Source organism: Homo sapiens, chromosome 1 (genome assembly GCF_000001405.40).
Source record: "Homo sapiens chromosome 1, GRCh38.p14 Primary Assembly".
NCBI lineage: Eukaryota > Metazoa > Chordata > Mammalia > Primates > Hominidae > Homo > Homo sapiens.
In genome coordinates, this window is record NC_000001.11 from 45,428,127 (window position 1) to 45,448,004 (window position 19,878).

The 19,878-nt window shown below is 41.9% G+C and overlaps 1 protein-coding gene across 2 annotated transcripts in view, besides 1 other annotated feature; it reads right to left on the minus strand.

The window, feature by feature from the left end:
- TESK2 (testis associated actin remodelling kinase 2) overlaps positions 1-19,878 on the minus strand; it is a 147,281-nt gene that overhangs the window by 84,244 nt on the left and 43,159 nt on the right. The gene's annotated exons all lie outside the window — the stretch shown is intronic.
- Positions 15,310-15,539: a silencer, noted in NCBI's record as "fragment chr1:45909108-45909337 (GRCh37/hg19 assembly coordinates)". NCBI's record gives its function as "represses an EF-1alpha promoter that drives an FKBP-Casp9 reporter gene in an ReSE screen in K562 erythroleukemia cells {active_cell/tissue: K562}" and the evidence as "EXISTENCE:reporter gene assay evidence [ECO:0000049][PMID:32094911]".

Sequence of the window (19,878 nt, forward strand, 5' to 3'; positions counted from 1 at the left end):
GCTACATACTAGGTACTGCTGTATAACTTCTTTATACATATTAACTTATTTAATCTTGAAGATAATCCTGTGAGACAAGTATCACTAATAACCTCATTTTACAGCCATGGAAACTGAGGCACAGAGAAATTAAATCTTTCTCAAGATCGTACATCTATTAAATGGCAGAGACACAATTTGAATACAAACTATGCAAAGAATATTGAGCCTGATACAGTCAGACCAACTGATTCAAGAAAAAAAGCACTGTGTGAACATTGCATAAATATTCTACCAAGGGATAATAATCATGATCTTGTATGTATCTCACAACATGGTCTTGTAATATAGAAAACAAAAACTGACAATGTAAGGCAAATGTGACAAATCTATGATCTTTATTTTTATTTTTTTTTAAACAGGGTCTCACTCTGTCACCCATGTTTGAATGCAGTGGCATGACCTCAGCTCACTGCAGCCTCCCCCTCCTGAGATCAAGCAATCCTCCCACCTCAGCCACTTGAGAAGCTGGGACCACAGCTGTGCACCACCATGCCCAGCTAATTTTTATATATTTTTTTAGAGACAGGGTTTCGCCATGTTGTCCAGGCTGGTCTCAAACTCCTGGGCTCAAGCAGTCTGCCTGCCTCGGCCTCCCAAAGTGCTGGGATTACAAACATGAGCCACTGCGCCCAGCTCTTAAATTCCTGATTTTTTTTTTTTTTTTTTTTTTTGAGACGGAGTCTCGCTCTGTCACCCAGGCTGGAGTGCAGTGGCGTGATCTTGGCTCGCTGCAAGCTCCGCCTCCCGGGTTCACGCCATTCTCCTGCCTCAGCCTCCCAAGTATCTGGGACTACAGGCACGTGCCACCATGCCCGACTAATTTTTTGTATTTTTAGTAGAGACGGGGTTTCACCATGTTAGCCAGGATGGTCTCGATCTCCTGACCTCGTGATCTGCCTGCCTTGGCCTCCCAAAATGCTGGGATTACAGGCGTGAGCCACCGCGCCCGGCCCCTAAATATTATGAGACATTTTAACACATCTCTCAAAAACTGAAAGCTCGCCAGGTGCGGTAGAGATCAGGAGTTCGAGACCAGCCTGGCCAATATGGGGAAAACCCATCTCTTAAAAATACAAAATTAGCCAGGCGTGATGGTGCGTGTCTGTAGTCCCAGCTACCTGGGAGGCTGAGGCAGAAGAATCGCTTGAACCCGAGAGGCAGAGGTTGCAGTGAGCCGAGATTGTGCCATTGCACTCCAGCCTGGGTGACAGAGCGCAACTCCATCTAAAAAACAGATTAAAAAAAAATTTTTTTTTTAAACCTGAAAGCTCAAGAAGACAAGAAATTAGTAAGGATATGGAACATTTCAATAACAAAAGTGGCATCTTTGATCTAATCCTTCCTCAAAGACAGGCATTTTTTTTAAAGTATATATGACAAAATTTATCAAAATGCTACTAAACAAAAATTACAGGAGGCATAACAGTTTTGGATTGAGTTCCTGCACTAGGCTTTAACAGACGAGACTAAAAATGAAAACGGAGTTACCCGTGCTAAAGTTCTACTAAGTTGTTCCACTAAGTTGTTATCTGACTTTCCAAGAAATCAGGAAAGAGAGATAACAGCCAATCACCCAAACTGACCAGCTTCAATCTTCAATTGGCATAACTAAAGTCCCTCCGCTTTAACTCTTACACAAAAGAAGTAGCCTGAAGTTAGTTGATACTAACAAATCAGTTACTTTTCTGTTGTTTGATATCCCTGCCTTTGCATTATAAGAACTTTGAAAGGGCTAATAATACACTCTCAGGTCTTTGCTTCTGCTTTTTTAAGCCCTTCTCTGACTATAAAGCCAAATTCTTCCACTCAGCTCATTGGTACACTTATTCTATTTTAGGAAATGAAGAGTTGCTGGACTCTAGAATAGCAATAAAGACTATTGAAGTCTTTAAACTATATTTATTCTAATTTTGTCCTTTAACAGATGTGGCTACCACAAAGGGACCTGAAGGAGACTGCTGAAGACCCTGAGACCCTAAGCTCTGCTAACCCCTTTTTGGATGAGAATCTGTCTTCTCATGGAGCCTAAAGAGTTGTGAAGATGGGTATGGTGGCTCACAGCTGTAATCCCAACACTTCGGAAGGCTGAGGCAGGTAGGCTGCTTGAGCCCAGGAGTTCGAGATAGCCTGGGCAACATGGTAAAACACATCTCTACAAAAAAAAATACAAAAATTAGCTGGTTGTGGTGGTGTGCACCTGTGGTCCCAGCTACTCAGGAGGCTGAGGTGGGAGGATCGCTTGAGCCCAGGAGATCAAGGCTACAGTGAGCCATGATCAAGACATTGCACTCCAGCCTGGGCAACACAGTGAGACCCTATCTAAAACAAACAAACAAACAGAAAAAATAGAGTCGTGAGTAAACCTCTCTCAGGTCTGAGCTCTGCTCTTTTGCCTTTGATCTCTCTGATCTCTTTGCCTTTTGGGATACCAAGGGTTAGTTTGTGTTGTGAGAGAGCACTTGATGATGAGACAGCTAGGGTTAGTTTGTACTGTAGCATGGCACATGACTTTTGGGTTTGTGGTGGCTGACAAGTCACTGGCAAGGGTTGCATCTTTTTGCTTCCTCTTTGGCGACATTTCATGTGTGGTTCTATAAAAGTCTTGAGCCAAGCCCCCAAGAATATGGCTGGACAGAAATGTGGGTTACACCTCACTTGCTACTAATATATGGACGGACAGAAATAGAGGTTGCGTTATATTTGTAGTTAGCGTAAAGAGCTACAGTTTTATAAGGCAGAATCACCCAAAAAATTCTGGAGATAATCCTCCAGTGACTTACACTTCCTGGACAAAAATTGAGCTTATGGCCTAGAACCCATCTACTGAAAAGTAAGCAGATTAAACAATACGAATTATTTACTCAACACCAATTTTCTTCTTTTTTGTGACTGAAAGAAACCCAACCTGGCAATCTTCCTTGCAACTAGGAGAGTCTATGTTACACAGTGCTAGTAAGAAGATGCAAGAGGCCGGGCACAGTGGCTCACGCCTGCAATCCCAGCACTTTGGGAGGCCGAGGTCGGCGGATCACGAGGTCAGGAGATCGAGACCATCCTGGCTAATATGGTGAAACTCTGTCTCTACTAAAAATACAAAAAATTGGCCGGGCATGTTGGCACGTGCCTGTAGTCCCAGCTACTCAGGAGGCTGAGGCAGAAGAATCGCTTGAACCCGGGAGACGGAGGTTGCAGTGAGCCAAGATTGTGCCACTGCACTCCAGCCTGGGCAATAGAGCGAGAACCTATCTAAAAGAAAAAAAAAAAGATGCAAGTGGAAATTGCTGCATGGAATTTCTGGGGATGCTATTGCTTTCTTGATGAAATTGTACTTTTTACTTCCCCCTTATTATAGCCTGGAACAAAGACATGATGCGCACATAAAGAGTAGTTATTAGGGATGCTCAACCAGTAAGTATAATGCAAATATTCAAAAAAATTTTCCAAAATCCAAAACACCTCTGGTTCCCAGCTTGTGGATAAGGGATACTCAACCTTTTACTGGCCACCAGTAAAAACCTTGCTTGAAGGGGTCAGAGAAGGATTCCCAGAGGAAGTCATCCTTCAGTTTTCTTCAAGAATAAGAAAGAGCTTGTCAAATAGAACAAGCAAGGAAAGGGCATACTGAGCAGGTGTAAAAGCATGTGCAGAGTCTCAGAGGAATAAGAGCATGGGATATTCTAAGGAATGGTGAGAAACTGGGTTTGGCTCAAGGCCTGGTGGGTACATGTTAAGGAATTGCAAGCTTGTGATGAGCCTAGCATGGAAAGCAAGAACCAGAAAATAAAAAATTTTTAGGGCAAGGCACAGTAGCTCATGCCTGTAATCCCAGCACTCTGGGAGGCTGAGACAGGAGGATCACTTAAACCCAAGAGTTCAAGGCCAGCCTGGGAAACATGGTGAAACCCCATCTCTACAAAAAATACAAAAAACGTTACCCAGGCATGGTGGTGCATGTCTGTGGTCCCAGATACTTGGGAGGCTGAGATGGGAGGATCACTTGAGCCTGGGCAACAAAGCAATACCCTGTCTCTACAGAAATAAAAATAGTCAGGCATAGTGGTCCCAGCTACTTAGGAAGTAGGTCTTGAACACCTGGCATTAAGGGATCCTCCTGCCTCGGCCTTCCAAAGTGCTAGGATTACAGGTGTGAGCCACTACACTAGGCCGAGTATTTATCATTTATATGTATTGGGAACATTTCAAGTCCGCTCTTCTACCTACTTAGAAATATACAATACATTGTCCAGGCACGGTGGCTCACGCCTGTAATCCCAGCACTTTTGGAGGCCGAGGCGGGCAGATCACAAGGTCAGGAGATCAAGACCATCCTGGCTAACACGGTGAAACCCCATCTCTACTAAAAATACAAAAAATTAGCCGGGCATGGTGGCAGGCGCCTGTAGTCCCAGCTACTCGGGAGGCTGAGGCAGGAGAATGGCGTGAACTGGGGAGGCGGAGCTTGCAGTGAGCCGAGATCAAGCCACTGCACTCCAGCCTGGGCAAAAGAGCCAGACTCCGTCTCAAAAAAAAAAGATATATACAATACATTATTAATGATAGTCACCATACTCTCCTATTGAATATTATAACTTTTTTTTTTTTTTTTTTTTTTGGAGATGGAGTTTCGCTCTGTCACCCAGGCTGGAGTGCAGTGGCATGATCTCGCCTCACTGCAATCTCCGCCTCCCAGGTTCAAGCAATTCTTCTGCCTCAGCATCCTGAGTAGCTGGGACAACAGGCACATGCCGCCACACCCAGCTAATTTTTTGTATTTTAGTAGAGATGGAGTTTCACTGTGTTGCCCAGGCTGGTCTCAAACTCCTGAGCTTGGGCAATCTGCCCACCTTGGCCTCCCAAAGTGCTAGGATTACAAGCATGAGCCACCGCGCCCAGCCGCTTTTTTTTTTTTTTTTTTTTTTTTTTTTGAGACCGAGTCTCACTCTGTCACTCAGGCTGGTTGCAGTGGTGCAATCTCGGCTCACTGCAACCTCCACCTCCTGGGTTCAAGCGATTCTTGTACCTCAGCCTCCCAAGTAGCTGGGACTACAGGCACGTACCCACCATGCCCAGCTAATTTTTTTTGTAATTTCAGTAGAGACAGGGTTTTGCCATGTTGGCCAGGCTGGTCTTGAACTCCTGGCCTCAAGTGATCTGCCCTCCTTGGCCTCCCAAAGTGCTGAGATTACAGGCATGAGACACTATGCCCAGCCTATAACTTACACTTTCTATCCAACTATATGTTTGTACCTATTAACCAACTTTCTCTATCCCACGCACCCTTCCCAGCCTCTGGTAACTATCATTCTACTCTTTACCTCTATGAGATCAACTATTTCAGCTCTCACATATAAGTGAGAACTTGCAATATTAGTCTCTCTGTGCTTGGCTTATTTCACTTAACATAATGACTTCCAGTTCCATCTGCGTTGCTGAAAATGACAGGATTTCATACATTTTTATGTCCAAATAGTGATCCATTTTTTATATATACCACATTTTCTTTTTCCACTTATCCATCAATGAATGCTTAGGTTGGTTCCATATATTTGCTACTGTGAATAGTGCTGCAATAAACATGGAGATGCAAGTATCCCTTTGGTATATTGATTTCCCTTCCTTTGGATAAATACCCACTAATGAGATTGCTGGATCATATGGTAGTTCTATTTTTTACTTTTTTGAGACATCTCCATACTGTTTTCCATAGTGACCATACTAATTTACATTCCCCCCAAGAATATAAGAGTTCCCTTTACGCTGTATCTTCATCAGATCTGGTTTGTTTTTTGTTTGTTCATTTTTGGGGTTTTGGGGTTTGTTGTTGTTGTTATTGTTGTTGTTTTTGAGATGGGATCTCACTCTGTCTCCCAGGCTGGAGTGCAGTGGCATGATCATAGCTTACTGCAGCCTCAACCTCCTGGCTCTAGGGATCCTCCTGCCTCAGCCTCCTGAATAGCTGGGACTACAGGCATGTGCCAGCACACCCAGTTAATTTTTGTATTTTTGGTAGAGACGAGGTTTCACCATGCTGCCCAGGCTGGTCTCGAACTCCGGAGCTCAAGCAATCGCACCTGCCTCCATCTTCCAAAGTGTTGAGATCACAGGCACTGGCCACCGTGCCTGGCCTGTTTTTGTTTGTTTGTCTAAGACAGGGTCCTGCTCTATTGCCAGGCTGGGGTGCAGTGGCATGATCACAGCTCACTCTAGTGTCAATCTGGGCTCAAGCGATCCTCCCACCTAAGCCTCTCGAGTAGCTTAAACTACAGGTGTGCACCACTACATCCAGCTATTTTTTTTTTTTTTTGTAGAGATGGGGTCTTTTTGTCTTTTTGATGGTAGCCATTCTAAATGAGATAAGATAATACCTCATTGTATTGATTTGCATTTCCCTGATTAGCAAATTTTTTATGATGTTGAGCATTTTTCGTATACCTGTTGACCATTCCTATGTTTTCTTTCAAGAAATTTCTGTTCATGTCCTTTGCCCATTTTTAAATGGGATTTTCGGGGTAGGGAGAGATGGTTTTTTATTTTTTACTGTTGAGTTGTTTGAGTTCCTTGTATATTCCAAATATTAGCCCCTTTTTGGATAAATAGTTTACGAGTATTTCCTCCCATTCAAAAGGTTGTCTCTTCACTCTATTGTTTCCTTTGCTGTGCAGAAGATTTTTAGTCTAATATAGTCCCATTTGTCGATTTTTGGTTTTGCTGCCTATACTTTTGAGGTCTTTGCCATAAAATCTTTGCCTAGACCAATGTCTTGAAGTGTTTCCTCTGTTTACTTTTCTTTCTTTTTTTTTTTTTTCTTTTTTTGAGACAAGGTCTCTCTCTCTTACCAAGGCTGGAGTGCAGTGGCTTGATCATAATTCACTGCAATCTTGAACTCCTAGGCTCAAGAAATCCTCCCACTTCAGCCTCCCAAGTAGCTGGGACTACAGGTGTGCACCACCATGGCTGGCTAATTTTTTATTTTTTTGAGTCAGGGTATCACTCTGTTACCCAGGCTGGAGTGCAGTGGTGTGATCACAGCTCACTGCAGCCTCAACTTCCTAGGCTCAACCAATCCTCTCACCTCAGTCTCCCAGGTAGTTGGGACTACAGGCACACGCCACCACACCCAGCTAATTTTTTTGTATTGTTTGCAGAGACAGGGTTTCACCACGTTGGCCAGGCTAGTTTCAAGCTCTTGAGCTCAGGCAATCTGCCTGGCTTGGCCTCCCAAAGTGCTGGGATTACAGGCATGGGCTACTGCACCCAGCCATTTTTTTTTTTTTTTCTAAAGACAGGGTCTCACTATATTACCCAGACTCATCTCGAACTCCTGGGCTCATGTGATCCTCCTGCCTTAGCCTCCCAAAGTACTGGGATTATAGGTGTAAGCCACTGTGGTCTAATTTTTTTTTTTTTTTTTTTTTTTTTTGTAGAGACAAGGTCTCACTATGTTGCTCAGTATTCTTTTTTTTTTTTTTTTTAAGACCCAGAATAACATGCTGAAACCCCTATGTTTTCTTCTAGTAGTTTTGTAGTTTGGGGTTTTACATTTAAGTCTTTAAATTATCTTTATTTTATTTTATTTTATTATTTGAGACAGAGTCTCACTCTTTTGCCCAGGCTGGAGTGTACTGGTGTGACTGGATTTGACTTTTGTATATAGTAAGAGATGGAGATCCAGTTTCATTCTTCTGCATATATAATATACCATGTTCTCAGCACCATTTATTCAAGAAAGTGTCTTGTCCCCAGTGTACGTTCTTGGTACCTTTGTTGAAAATCAGTTGGCTGTAAACACGTGGATTTATTCTGTTCCATTGGTCTATGTGTCTGATTTATACAAATATCATGCTGTTGTGCTCAGTATAGCCTTGTAATATATATTGAAGTCAGGTAGTATGATGCCTCCAGCTTTGTTCTTTTTGCTCAGGACTGCTTTGGCTATTTGGTCTCTTTTTTGTTTCCATACAAAATTTTAGGACTGCTTTTTCTATTTCTGTGAAAAATGACATTGGTATCTTCTTTTTTTTTTTTTTTTTTTTTGAGATGGAGACTCACTCTGTCACCCAGGCTGGAGTGCAGTGGCGTGATCTCGGTTCACTGCAACCTCCACCTCCCAGGCTCAAGCGATTCTCCTGCCTCAGCCTCCTGAGTAGCTGGGATTACAGGCACACACCACCACACCTGGATAATTTTTGTATTTTTAGTAGAGATGGGGTTTCACCATGTTGGCCAGGCTGGTCGCAAACTCCTGACCTCAGAAGATCCGCCTACTTCGGCCTCCCAAAGTGCTGGGATCATGAGCCACCGTGCCTGGCCTTTTTTTTTTTTTTTTTTTTTTTTTTTTGAGACGGAGTTTCACTCTTGTTGCCCAGGCTGGAGTGCAATGGCCCGATCTTGGCTCACCGCAACCTCCACCTTCCGGGTTCAAGCGATTCTCCTACCTCCCCTCCCGAGTAGCTGGGATTACAGGCATGTGCCACCACACACAGCTAATTTTGTATTTTTAGTAGAGACAGGTTTTCTCCATGTTGGGCAGGCTGGTCTCGAACTCCTGACCTCAGGTGATCCTCCTGCCTTGGCCTCCCAAAGTGCTGGGATTACAGGCATGAGCCACTGTGCCCAGCCAACATTAGTATCTTTTTTTTTTTTTTTTTAGACAGAGTCTCACTCTGTCACCCAGGCTGGAGTGCAGTGGCACAATCTCGGCTCACTGCAACCTCTGCCTCCCAGGCTCAAGCGATCCTCCCGCCTCAGCTTCCCAAGTACTTGGAACTACAGGCATGTGCCATCATGCCTGGCTAATATTTGTATTTTTAGTAGAGATAGGGTTTCACCATTGTTGGCAAGGCTGGTCTTCAACTCCTGGCCTCAATCCACCCACCTTGGCCTCCCAAAGTGCTGGGATTACAGGAGTGAGCCGCTGCGCCTGACCCAACATTGGTATCTTGATAGGGATTTCACTGAATCTGTAGATTGTTTTTGGGTAGCATGGTCGTTTTAACAATATTAATTCTTCCAATCCATGAGCATAAGATATCTTTCTATTTTTTTGTGTCCTCTTCAATTTCTTTCATTAGCGTTTTGCAGTTCTTCTTGTAGGGTCTTTCACTTTCTTGGTTACATTTATTCATAGGTATTTTATTATAATTTTTGTAGCTGTACTGTAATTGGGATTGCCTTCTAGATTTTTTTCAGCTAATTAGTGGTGTATAGAAATGCTGATTTTTGTGCATTGATTTTTGAATCCTGTAACTTTACTGAATTTATCAGATCTAAAAGATTTTGGTGGAATCTTTAGGTTTTTCTAGATATAAGATCATTTTATCTCCAAAGAGGAACAATTTGACTTCCTCTTTTCCAATTTGGATGCCTTTTCTTTCTTTCTCTTACCTCACTGTTGCAGCTAGGACTTCCAGTACTATGCTGAATAGGAGTGGTGAAAGTGAGCATCCTTGTTCCAGTTTTCAGAGAAAAGGCTTTCACAGCTTTTCCCTATCAGTATGCTATTAGGTGTGGGTTTGTCATATATGGCCTTTATTATGTTGAGGTATGTTCTGTCTATGACTAGTTTGTTGAGAGTTTTTATCATAAAGGGATGTTGAATTTTATAAAATACTTTTTCTAGATTTTGAAGGTTACCTTAACTCTGACTACCTGGAACAGTTAAATTCTGAAATGGCTGGTTTGATATGAGACAGACAAGCAAAGCTTCTTGGTTACAGACACACATAAGTGTTGCTCATAGATGTTGGGGTTTGGGGATGGTTCTGAATACTTCCAAGTAGTCTTTTTGGGAGCATTTAATTTTTGTTCCCCAAACAGTATTGGTATATACTGACATCTCAGTCACCCAATGACTCTGAAAACTGGTATGTCAGAAATACCTAATAGGCTTTCTCCTAACTTTTACCTTTAAGTAGAACATCTACTATCTCACATCATCCTTACTGCCCAGTTCTTAGCCATCTTAACAAAAGTTACTTCATATAATTCCATGACTATAGAGCTAAACTCTTTTCTGATAGAGTAGTTATTAAAACATAGAAGCACTGGCTGGGCACGGTGGCTCACGCCTGTAATCCCAGCACTTTGGGAGGCTGAGGCAGGTGGATCACCTGAGGTCAGGAGTTCGAGACCAACCTGGCCAACATGGTGAAACCCCATCTCTACTAAAAATATAAAAACTAGCCAGGCATGGTGGTAGGCACCTGTAATCCCAGCTACTTGGGAGGCTGAGACAGCAGAATTGCTTGAACCCAGGAGATGGAGGTTGCAGTGAGCTGACACGGTGCCACTGTACTCCAGCCTCAGCGACAGAGTAAGACTCTGTTAAAATAATATCACATACCACTGATGAAGACACTTTTTTAAGTTTTTAACTTTTAATAAAAGTTTTAAGTTCAGGAGTACACATGCAGATTTGTTACATAGGTAAACTTGTATCATGAGGGTTTGTTGTTCAGATTATTTCATCACCTAGGTATTAAGCCTAGTACCCATTAGTTATTTTCCCTGATCCTCTCCCTCCACTCTATGATAGGCCCCATTGTGTGTTCTTCCCCTCTATGTGTCCATGTGTTCTCACCATTTAGCCCCCACTTATAAGTGAGAATATGCAGTATTTGGTTTGATGAAAACTTTTACAGTGAGATCTCAGAAAGGCATACAGAGAAATAAACACAACCATGAAATAAGATACTGATAATCTGAGGAAAAACCTTAAGTATTTTAGATTCAGACTACAACAATAATCAACATTTAAAAGAGAAAAGATTCACTCTCTAGACAATTTCATAAGTTACTGTTTGGAAAGTTAAAAAATTAGTCAGTTTTTAGTACAGTTGTGACACTGAGGCCACCGTAGAAGCACCAGCATTTTGAGATCCAGTATCTAAGTTTTCAGACAAAGCTCCCAAACAGAAAATATAAAAACCTTTACCTATTCAAGCACAAAAATAAAATATCCCAAAATAACATAACATTCACTTACTAAAATGTTCCTCTTACTTTCCTTAAACCACAACTGTTACAACACTGCAAGAAATTTACAGTTTGCATGACAAACTGCATATGCACTAAATAATAAATGTATAACCATGAATGCGAATGAATCAATTTTTCAGTATCAAGCAGATGGCAGATACTAGCTCTTTTAGTTTCTACATCTTTGAAGCTCAGTTTTCTCATTTATGAAATGAAAGTGTAACTACTTACAAGATTGTTATAGATACTATGCAATAAAATATATACATGTTCTTAATACAGTACCTAGCTCAAAGAAATAGCTCCATAGATATCAGCTACCTATATAACAGAAATAATAACTAGCCCTTAAATAGGGTGAATTATTTATAACATTATTCTAATGCTTTACGCATAATAGTTCATTATATTTTCTCAACAACTCTAAAGGTAGATATTATTACAATCCTCATTTTGCAGATGAGGAAACGGAGGCACAGAAGTCAAGGTCAGAAAGTTTGTAAGTGGTACAGCCAAGACTCAAACCCAGCTAGGCATGGTAGCAAACACCTGTAGTCCCAGCTACGCAGGAAGCTGAGACAGGAGAATTGCTTGAGCCCGGGAGTTCAAGACAAGGCTGGGCAGCATAGCAAGACCCCATCTCTCAAAAAAATTTAAAAATTAGCCAGGCATGCTGGTGGTACATGCCTGTAGTCCTAGCCATTCAAGAGGCTGAGGCAGGAGGATCACTTGAGCCCAGCAGTTCCAGGTTACAGTGAGCTAAAGTTGTGCCACTGCACTCCAGCCTGGGCAACAAAGCAAGCGCCCCCCCACTGCCACTTTTTTTTTTTTTGAGACAGAGTATCGCTAGGTCACCTGGGCTGGAGTGCAGTGGCATGATCTTGGCTCACTGCAATCTCTGCCTCAAGCGATTCCCATTCCTCAACCTCCGGAGTAGCTGGAATTACAGACATGCACCAGTACACCTGGCTAACTTTTGTACTTTTTGTAGAGACGGGGATTCACCAAGTTGACCAGGCTGATCTCAGACTCTTGGCCTCATGTGATCTGTCCGCCTCTGCCTCCCAAAGTGCTGGGATTAAGGTGTGAGCCACCACACTTTGCCAAGGCCCCCCCAAAAAAAGGTATCATTGCTCCAATAAAAGCCTGTATAAAACATACAGAACGGACAAAGGAGGGAATGATCAATCATGCTATGAAAACTATGATAATGGTAAGAAAACAAGGCATCTCATTTCACATAATCATCAAAAATAAAATCACACCTAAAAAATAGTGGGGCCAGGGGCTGGGCGCGGTGGCTCATGCCCGTAATCCCAGCACTTTGGGAGGTCAAGGCAGGTGGATCACTTGAGGCCAGGAGTTCAAGACCAGCCTGGCCAACATGGCAAAACCCCGCCTCTACTAAAAATATAAAAAAATTAGCTGGGCATGGTGGTGTGTGCTTGTATTCCCAGCTACCCAGGAGGCTGAGGCAGAAGAATCACTTAAACCGGGGAGGCAGAGGCTGCAGTGAGCCAAGATCGCACTACTGTACTCCAGCCTGGGTGACAGAGCAAGACTCGGTCTCAAAAAAAAAAAACAAACAAACAAACAAACAAAATATATATATATTTGTACCACTGCAGGTGACAGAGTGAGATCCTGACACTCTCGTTTGCTGACTTTAATGAATCAGGCAGCCACACTGTGTGCTGTCATAGAGAAAAGGCCACAATGGCAAGGAACTGAAGGCAGCCTTCAGCAAGAACTTGAGGCCCTCAGTTCAGTGACCTGCAAGGAACTGAATGCTTCCAACAACCACATAAAGTTAGTAGCAGATCCTTCCCCAGCTGAACTTCACATAAGAGAGCAGCTCTGACTGACACCTTCACTGTAGCTTTCAGAGACCTTGAAGAAGGCAATCCAGTAATCCAGTTGAGTCAGACTTGGACTCTTAAACTACAGAAAAAGATATAATAAATATATGCTCTTTTAAATCACTACATTTGTGGTAATATTGCTTTGTTGTTGTAATTTTGTTTTTTTGTTTGTTTGTTTTTTGAGACAGAGTCTCGCTACATCGCCCAGGCTGGAGTGCAATGGCATGATCTTGGCTCACTGCAACCTCTGCCTCCCGGGTTCAAGCAATTCTCCTGCCTCAGCATCCTGAGTAGCTGGGATTACAGGTGCCTACCATCACGCCCAGCTAATTTTGTATTTTTAATAGAGATGGGGTTTTGCCATTCGCCATGTTGGTCAGACTGGTCTCGAACTCCTGACCTCAGGTGATCCGCCTGCCTCGTCCTCCCAGTGTGCTGAGATTACAGGCGTGAGCCACCGCACCCAGCCTGTTGTTTTTTAATAGAGACAGACTCTTGCTATGTTGCCTAGGCTGGTCTTGAACTCCTGGCCTCAAGCAATCCTTCTGCCTCAGCGTCCCAAAGTGCTGAGATTACAAGCATGAACCACTGCACCCAGCCAAAATTATTCTTTTTTTTTTTTTTTTTTTGAGACAGAGTCTCACTCTGTTGCCCAGGCTGGAGTACAGTGGTGCGATCTCAGCTCATTGCAGCCTCCGCCTCTCAGGTTCAAGTGATTCTCCTGCCTCAGCCTCCGAGTAGTGAGATTACAGGTACGTGCCACCACGCCCAGCTAATTTTTGTATTTTTAGTAGAGACGGGGTTTCACCATGTTGGCCACGCTGCTCTCGAACTCGTGACCTCAAGTGATCCACCTGCACTGGCCTCCCAAAGTGCTGTGCTGGGATTACAGGCATAAGCCACTGTGCCCAGCAAAATTGTTTTTGTTTTGTTTTGTTTTGTTTTTGAGACAAGGTTCTGCTCTTGTTGCCCAAGCTGGATTGCAATGGTGCTATCTCGGCTCACCGCAACCTCCACCTCCCAGGTTCAAATGATTCTCCTGCCCCACCCTCCCGAGTAGCTGGGATTACACGCATGCACCACCATGCCTGGCTAATTCTGTATTTTTAGTAGAGATGAGGTTTCTCCATGTTGGTCAGGCTGGTCTCAAACTCCCAACCTCAGGTGATCCACCCACCTCAGCCTCCCAAAGTGCTAGGATTATAGGCGTGAGCCACCTCGCCTGGCCAAAATTGTTCATTTTTAAAGAGAGACTTTTATGGTATGTGAATTATTTCTCACTAAAGCTTTTTTTTTTTTAAATTTACATTGATACTTTGCTGTGGGATGGGATTCCAGGTTTTATAGTTTTCACAATACATACCAACAGACTTACATCATGGGTAATGACGTGTACTTGAATTATCTCATGAGACTAGAACAATCATTTTCTTACAAGATTTCAAGGAAGGAGACTTTCTAGGAAGTTTCCAATTATACTCCCAAACAAAACTAGGACTATTATAAAAAGAAAGCAAGAGCCTTTTACTGTATCCCAACAGAACCACTCTTTTTTCTTTTTGACATCCTCAACAGAAGCACTCTTAATTTGAAACATTAAACAGGTTGTCGGCCACTGCTACGCTGCAGCTGAAAAGCTTTTCCACTTACTAGAGGGTAGAAGCTGGCACAATTATTCCATTTGCTTTTATTTTCACAACTGCACACACATGTGCCACTTCCACTTCCACATACTTCAGTTCTTCCCTAAATAAATTTCACTAACATCCAAATCGTTCCAATTTTCTTTTTTCTTTTTGAGACAGTCTCTCTCTATCACCCAGGCTGGAGTGCAGTGGCGTGATCTCGGCTTACTGCAACCTCCACCTCCTGGGTTCAAGCAATTCTCCTGCCTCAGCCTCCCAAGTAGCTGGGACTACAGGCATGTGCCATCGCACCTGGCTAATTTTAGTATTTTTAGTAATGACGGGGTTTCAGTATGTTGGCCAGGCTGGTCTTGAACTCCTGAGCGCAGGTGATCTGCCTTTCTTGGCAAAGTTCTGGGATTACAGGAGTAAGCCAACATATCCGGCCTACTTTCATTATTTCTAAGAAGCTAAACACACTTAAAAGAGGAGATTTTCTGTAATCTCAGCACTTTGTGTGGCCAAGGTGGGGGGATCACTTGAGACCTGGCGTGAACCACTGTGCCCGGCCAACTAAGGTCTATTTTTAAGGATGACCAGATGATCCTAAATTCCAAAACTAAATTATTTTAAAGGAAGACAAATAAACTGGCCGGGCATGGTGGTTCATGCCTGTAATCCCAACACTTTGGGAGACCAAGGCAGGAGGATCGCTTGAGGTCAAGAGTTTGAGACCAGCCTGGCCAACATGGCAAAACCCCATCTCTACTAAAAAATACAAAAAAAAAATTAGCCGAACATGTGGTGCATGCCTGTGGTCCCAGCTACTCGAGAGGCTGAGGCAGGATAATCGCTTGAACCCGGAAGGTGGAGTTTGCAGTGAGTTAAGATCACGCCACTGTACTCCAGCCTGGGTGGCAGAGCGAGATCCATCGCAAAAAAAAAAAAAAAAAAAAAAAAAAAGGCATACAAATAAACTACATAAATCCACACTCTAATTGTAAAGTAATCCATCAACCAATCTTTATTTTGCTATCTAGGACAACTAAAAGTCCTTAAGTTACCTGCACTAGAAGTCAAATATTTCCTTTTATCACCACTGATATACTTTTTATTTAACCTGACCTTTAAAGCTCGATAATCATCTGTACTTTGTAATCAAAGATAAAACTAAACATCACCTACCGGTGCACTACAGCTATTAGATCAGGAGTCGGCAATTTTTTCTGTAAAGGGTAAAACAGTAAATATCTTAGGCTTTGAAGGCCAGGTACAGTGGCTCATGCCCGTAATCTCAATGCTTTGAGAGGCCAAGGTGGGAGGATTGCTTGAGGCAGGAGTTTGACACCAGCCTAGGCAACATAGCGATACACTATCTCTACAAAAAAATTTAAAAATTAGCCGGGTGTGGTGGCACATGCCTGCAGTCCTATCTACTTGTGAAGCTAAGATGGGAGGATCCCTTGAGCTCAGGAGTTCAAAGTTACAGTGAGTTATGATCATGCTACTGCACTCCAGCCTGTGTGACAAAATGAGACTCTATTAAAAAAAAAAAAAAAAGGCTTTGAGGGCCATATGGTCTCTGTTACAAAGTACTCGATGAGTACAGATGTGTTCCAATAAAACTTTATTTCTAAAACTTTGGTCCAAGGGCTGTAGTTTACCAAATACTGTATCAGACTATATTATATGCAACCAAAAATAAACAGACCTATTCCCCCCTTTCCCATTGATAATGTTTTCACCATAAAATTAAACAATTACTTTCTAAAATACCACAAAATACATTTAACTAGCTTTCTTCTATTTTGTAATAGGCATTCATAGTGGGATAATGCTATCCCTATTGCCTCAAATGAGGAATAACAGCCAACTATGAGATTCAGGTTTAGGATTCAGATTTGAACCACACACACTGTACAGAAAGACTGAGCCAATAAATAAAAATAAAGCATTTAGGTTCACATCCAGAATCTATTTGACCCCAGCAGAGGCAAAAGTTAGTTCACCATATTGGAACATATCCACAACCTAGAATAAAATAACTCCCAGGGAAAATGAAACCGCTTTTGCAAAATTGTAACAGTAAGAGAAATCTAACATCGCTGACTCCATCTTGCTTCTAACCACATAAGCTAAACTGTCCCTGTCCATATCCGGGCATAAGCCAAGCTAACTATGGGAGGAATTTAGCTCATGGTTTAACTTTAAAACAAAGATGATAACAGTCCCTTCAGGAAACTAACCCCCTGCTTGCTTGGGGATGAAACTGCCTTTATAAAACTAACAGACTGGCCACACAGTTAGAATTATGGTTCAGGGGTCATGCAGCCAGAGGTCACAAGATTTGTAACTTCCCCAATTGCTCCTACAGATAACATCACTATTGCAAAACCTAAGACTGGTGTTTGAGTATTTTTCGGACCTTGCATTCTGATGCATCAGATGGCACCACCTGGATTGGCAACCTATAACGAGAAACCAGCTTGACTGGTCTTGTGACACCCCCAACCACCACCATCTAGTAACTAACTCAGTGAAAGAAGGCAGTTTCAACCCACTATGATCTCAACCTTGACCCAACCAATCAGCACTCCCCAATCCCTAGCCCCCTGCCTGCCAAACTATCCTCGAAAAACCCTAGCCTCTAAATTCTTGGGGAGATAGACTTGAGAAATAGCTCTCATTCTCATTGCTTGGCTTGCTCTGTGATTATTAAATTATTTCTCTGCTGCAACTCCTGCTGTTCTCAATTTATTGGCTTTTCTGGGAAATGGGTAAGAAGAACCAGTTGGACAATTACAAAAACATCTACCCTTGAAGATGGGCTTTCAATAAAAAATTAAAACTCAAAGTAGAAACAAAAAGCCACGACCAGGTGCAGTGGCTCACACTTGTAATCCCAACACTTTGGGAGGCTGAGGTGGGAGGATCACTTGAGGCCAGGAATTCAAGACCAGCCTGGGCAACATAATGAGACCCTGTCTCTACCAAAAAAAAAAAAAAAAAAAAAATCAGTGGGCATGGCAGCATGCACCTGTGATCCCAGATACTTGGGAGGCTGAGGCAGGAAGGTCACCTGAGCCCAGGAAGTCAAGGCCACACTAAGCCATGATCACATCACCACACTGCAAACTAGGTGACAGAGCAAGACCCTGTCTCCAAGAAATAAATAAACCATGAAGAAGTACCAGTAAACACAATTAATAGCAGGACTTATGATCTACACTCTAAGAGTTGCAACTAATCTGAAAAGTATATAACAAAAAAAATTTTAAAGGTCAAATTTTACTCAGCTCTTTGCAAGTATATTAGAAAAGTTGTAAGAAATTATAATTTTCTAGTAAAATATAATTTACAAAAATTGTCCTCAGGAGAAACAAAAACTTAAGTAGACCAATTATCCTAGAAGAATAGGAAAAGTTTTCCAAGTACTTGGCACAGAATTTCACAGTGGAATTCTACCAAATATTTAAGAAATAAATCATTTTAATACCACTTAAGCTGTTTCAAAGCATAGAAGAAAAAAAACTTCCTTTTTTTTTTTTTTAGACAGGGTCTCACTATTCTGCCCAGGATAGCTCAAGATATCCAAGGTAGGCGGATCACTTGAGGCCAGGAGTTTGAACCAGCATGGGCAACATAGTGAGACTCCATCTCTACAAAAAAGTCAAAAAAATTAGCTGGGTATATTGTTGCACATCTGTAGGCCTAGCTACTCAGGAGGCTGAGGCAGGAGGATCCCTTGAGCCAAGGAGCTGGAAGCACCAGGGAGCTATGATCGTACTACTGCACTCCAGCCTGGGCAACAGAAAGAGACCCTGTCGTCTCTAAAAAAATTTTAAATAAAAATAAAAAAGAGGAAACATTAAAGCTTAAATGCATATATTAGAAAATATGAAATATTAGGAAAAACTGAGATAAGAATAACATTCCAGATCCTAGAGAAAGAACAAAAAAATAGGACCAAGAAAGTAGGCAAAAGAAAGTAACCGAAGATAGAATTAGAAAACAATGAACTATAAAATGCATACAAACAGTAGGTAATCAGTACAATCAAAGAGTAATTATTTGACTGTCAGGTTCTGCCCAGGGTAAAGCTATCAGCAGGCTTGGCAAATATACAAAGTCAAACTTCCCTAAGGCAGGTACAGGGCAAAACCAAATACCCCTGCCTCCATAATCCATTTTTTAAGCTTTCCATTTATCAGTAAACAACAGCTAGTTTAAAAAAGAAAGAAGGGGTATCCTTTGAAAGAAAACATAAATTTGTGTTAAGTGTGATTTTTTAAAATGGGGCCTCAGCCAGGTACAGTTGTTCACACCTATAATCCCAGTACTTTGGGAAGCCAAGGTAGGGGGATCATGTAAGCCCAGGAGTTAGAGACCAGCCTGGGCAACATAGTGAGACCTCAACTCTACAAATAATTTTAAAAATTAGCCAGGCACGGTAATATGCTAGTAGTCCCAGATACTCAGGAGGCTGAAGCAAGAAGATCTCCTGAGCCCAGGAGTTCAAGGCTGCAGTGAGCCAAGATAGTGCCACTGCACTCCAGACTAGGTGACTGAGTGAGGTCTATCTCAAAAACAACAAAAAATGAAATTTAAAAATATAATTGCTTCTTTCACAGTAACACTTAGCTTAAAACACAAACACATTTACCAAGCTGTACAAAAATATTTTCTTTCTTTATAAGCTTTTTCTATTAAATTTTTTTTTTTTACTCTTTAAACATTTATGTTAAAAACTAAGACACAAACACACACATTAGCCTAGGCCTACAGAGGTCAGGATCATAATATCACTGTCACCCATCTCCACATCTTGTCTCAACAGAAGGTCTTCAGGGACAATAACACACATGGAGCTATCATATCCTATGATAACAGTGCCTTATTCTGGAATATCTCCTAAAGGGCCTGCCTGAGATGGTTTTGCAGTTAACTTTTTTTTTTAATAAATAGGAGTACACTCTAAAATAACAATTAAAAGTATAATGTAGTATATATATAAACCATTAACATAGTCAATTATTATCTTTATCAAGTATTACATTCTGTACATAATTATATGTGCTATACTTTATACAATTGGCACTGTGGTAGGATTATTAGCACCTGCAATACCACCGTCACGGGTAATACATTGCACTATGATATTACAACAGGTACACAATGTCACTAGGCCACAGGAATTTTCCATCTCTATTATAACCTTATAGGACCACCATTTTATATGCAGTCCATCATTGTCTGAAATGTCATTATGACTGTATATACAGGATCTATATGAGAAAAACCACAAAACTCTGATGAAAGACATCAAAGAAGAACTAAATAAAATGGAGAGATATTTCACATTCACAGATAGG